Here is a 2,395-nt window from a genome sequence, read left to right on the forward strand (position 1 = left end):
AGAACTGGTGTTTCATCGTGCGCCATTTAACACACGGAGCCAGGGATGGGCCTGCACAGTCATGCACAAGGCTAGGCTGTCACCCGTTTAGACGCTGTCTCTCATGTCACTGCTGGAAAAGTCTGCTCTTCCTTATCTAAGTCAACACATAACTGGGATGAAGCTGTTGGAATGGAACAATATGTGATGATACTAGTTTGTGGAGTATTTTCCTCTCCCTGTATTTTCCCCTTTCCTTTCCCCACTTTCAAACCAGTAGTAGGCTCTGGTCTTATTGTCTTAGGATAGCAGGTCGGGCTCTGAGTATGTTTTGGAGGATGGAGGAAGGGTAGAGCTTGTATCAGAAACAACCTGCAAGTATCTCTGGATTTTGCATTCTAAAAGTCTAAACATTTTTTTTTAATTATACTTTATAGGGTACATGTGCACAACGTGCAGCTTTGTTACATATGTATACATGTGCCATGTTGGTGTGCTGCACCCATTAACTGGTCATTTACATTAGGCATATCTCCTAATGCTATCCCTCCCCCCTCCCCCCACCCCACAACAGGCCTTGGTGTGTGATGTTCCCCTCCCTGTATCCAAGTGTTCTCATTGTTCAATTCCCACCTATGAGTGAGAACATGTGGTGTTTGGTTTTTTGTCCTTGTGATTGTTTGCTGAGAATGATGGTTTCCAGCTTCATCCATGTCCCTACAAAGGACATGAACTCATCATTTTTTATGGCTGCATAGTATTCCATGGTGTATATATGCCACATTTTCTTAATCCAGTCTATCCTTGATGGACATTTGGGTTGGTTCCAAGTCTTTCCTATTGTGAATAGTGCCGCAATAAACATACGGGTGCATGTGTCTTTATAGCAGCATGATTTATAATCCTTTGGGTATACACCCAGTAATGGGATGGCTGGGTCAAATGGTATTTCTAGTTCTAGATCCTTGAGGAATCGCCACACTGTCTTCCACAATGGTTGAACTAGTTTACAGTCCCACCAACAGTGTAAAAGTGTTCCTATTTCTCCACATCCTCTCCAGCACCTGTTGTTTCCTGACCTTTTAATGATCGCCATTCTAACTGGTGTGAGATGGTATCTCATTGTGGTTTTGATTTGCATTTTTCTGATGGCCAGTGATGATGAAAATTTTTTCATGTGTCTGTTGGCTGCATAAATGTCTTCTTTTGAGAAGTGTCTGTTCATATCCTTTGTCCATTTTTTGATGGGGTTGTTTGTTGTTTTCTTGTAAATTTGTTTGAGTTCTTTGTAGATTCTGGATATTAGCCCTTTGTCAGATGAGTAGTTGCAAAATTTTTTCTCCCATTCTGTAGATTGCCTGTTCACTCTGATGGTAGTTTCTTTTGCTGTGCAGAAGCTCTTTAGTTTAATTAGATCCCATTTGTCAATTTTGGCTTTTGTTGCCATTGCTTTTGGTGTTTTAGACATGAAGTCCTTGCCCATGCCTATGTCCTGAATGGTATTGCCTATGGTTTCTTCTAGGATTTTTATGGTTTTAGGTCTAATGTTTAAGTCTTTAATCCATCTTGAATTAATTTTTGTATAAGGTGTAAGGAAGGGATCCAGTTTCAGCTTTCTACATATGGCTAGCCAGTTTTCCCAGCACCATTTATTAAATAAGGAATCCTTTCCCCATTTCTTGTTTTTGTCAGGTTTGTCAAACATCAGATCATTGTAGATGTGTGGTATTATTTCTGAGGACTCTGTTCTGTTTCATTGGTCTATATCTCTGTTTTGGTACCAGTACCATGCTGTTTTGGTTACTGTAGCCTTGTAGTATAGTTTGAAGTCAGGTAGCCTGATGTCTCCAGCTTTGTTCTTTTGGCTTAGAATTGTCTTGACAATGCGGGCTCTTTTTTGGTTCCATATGAACTTTAAAGTAGTTTTTTTCCAATTCTGTGAAGAAAGTCATTGGTAGCTTGATGGGGATGGCACTGAATCTATAAATTAGCTTGGGCAGTGTGGCCATTTTCATGATATTGATTCTTCCTATCCATGAGCATGGAATGTTCTTACATTTGTTTGTGTCCTCTTTTATTTCATTGAGCAGTGGTTTGTAGTTCTCCTTGAAGAGGTCCTTCACATCCCTTGTAAGTTGGATTCCTAGGTATTTTATTCTCTTTGAAGCAATTGTGAATGGGAGTTCACTCATGATTTGGCTCTCTGTTTCTCTGTTATTGGTGTATAAGAATGCTTGTGATTTTTGCACATTGACTTTGTATCCTGAGACTTTGCTGAAGTTGCTTATCAGCTTAAGGAGATTTTGGGCTGAGATGATGGGGTTTTCTAAATATACAATCATGTCATCTGCAAAGAGGGACAATTTGACTTCCTCTTTTCCTAATTGAATACCCTTTATTTCCTTCTCCTGCCTGA

The sequence above is a fragment of the Homo sapiens genome, chromosome 6, assembly GCF_000001405.40.
Source record: "Homo sapiens chromosome 6, GRCh38.p14 Primary Assembly".
Classification (NCBI taxonomy): Eukaryota; Metazoa; Chordata; class Mammalia; order Primates; family Hominidae; genus Homo; species Homo sapiens.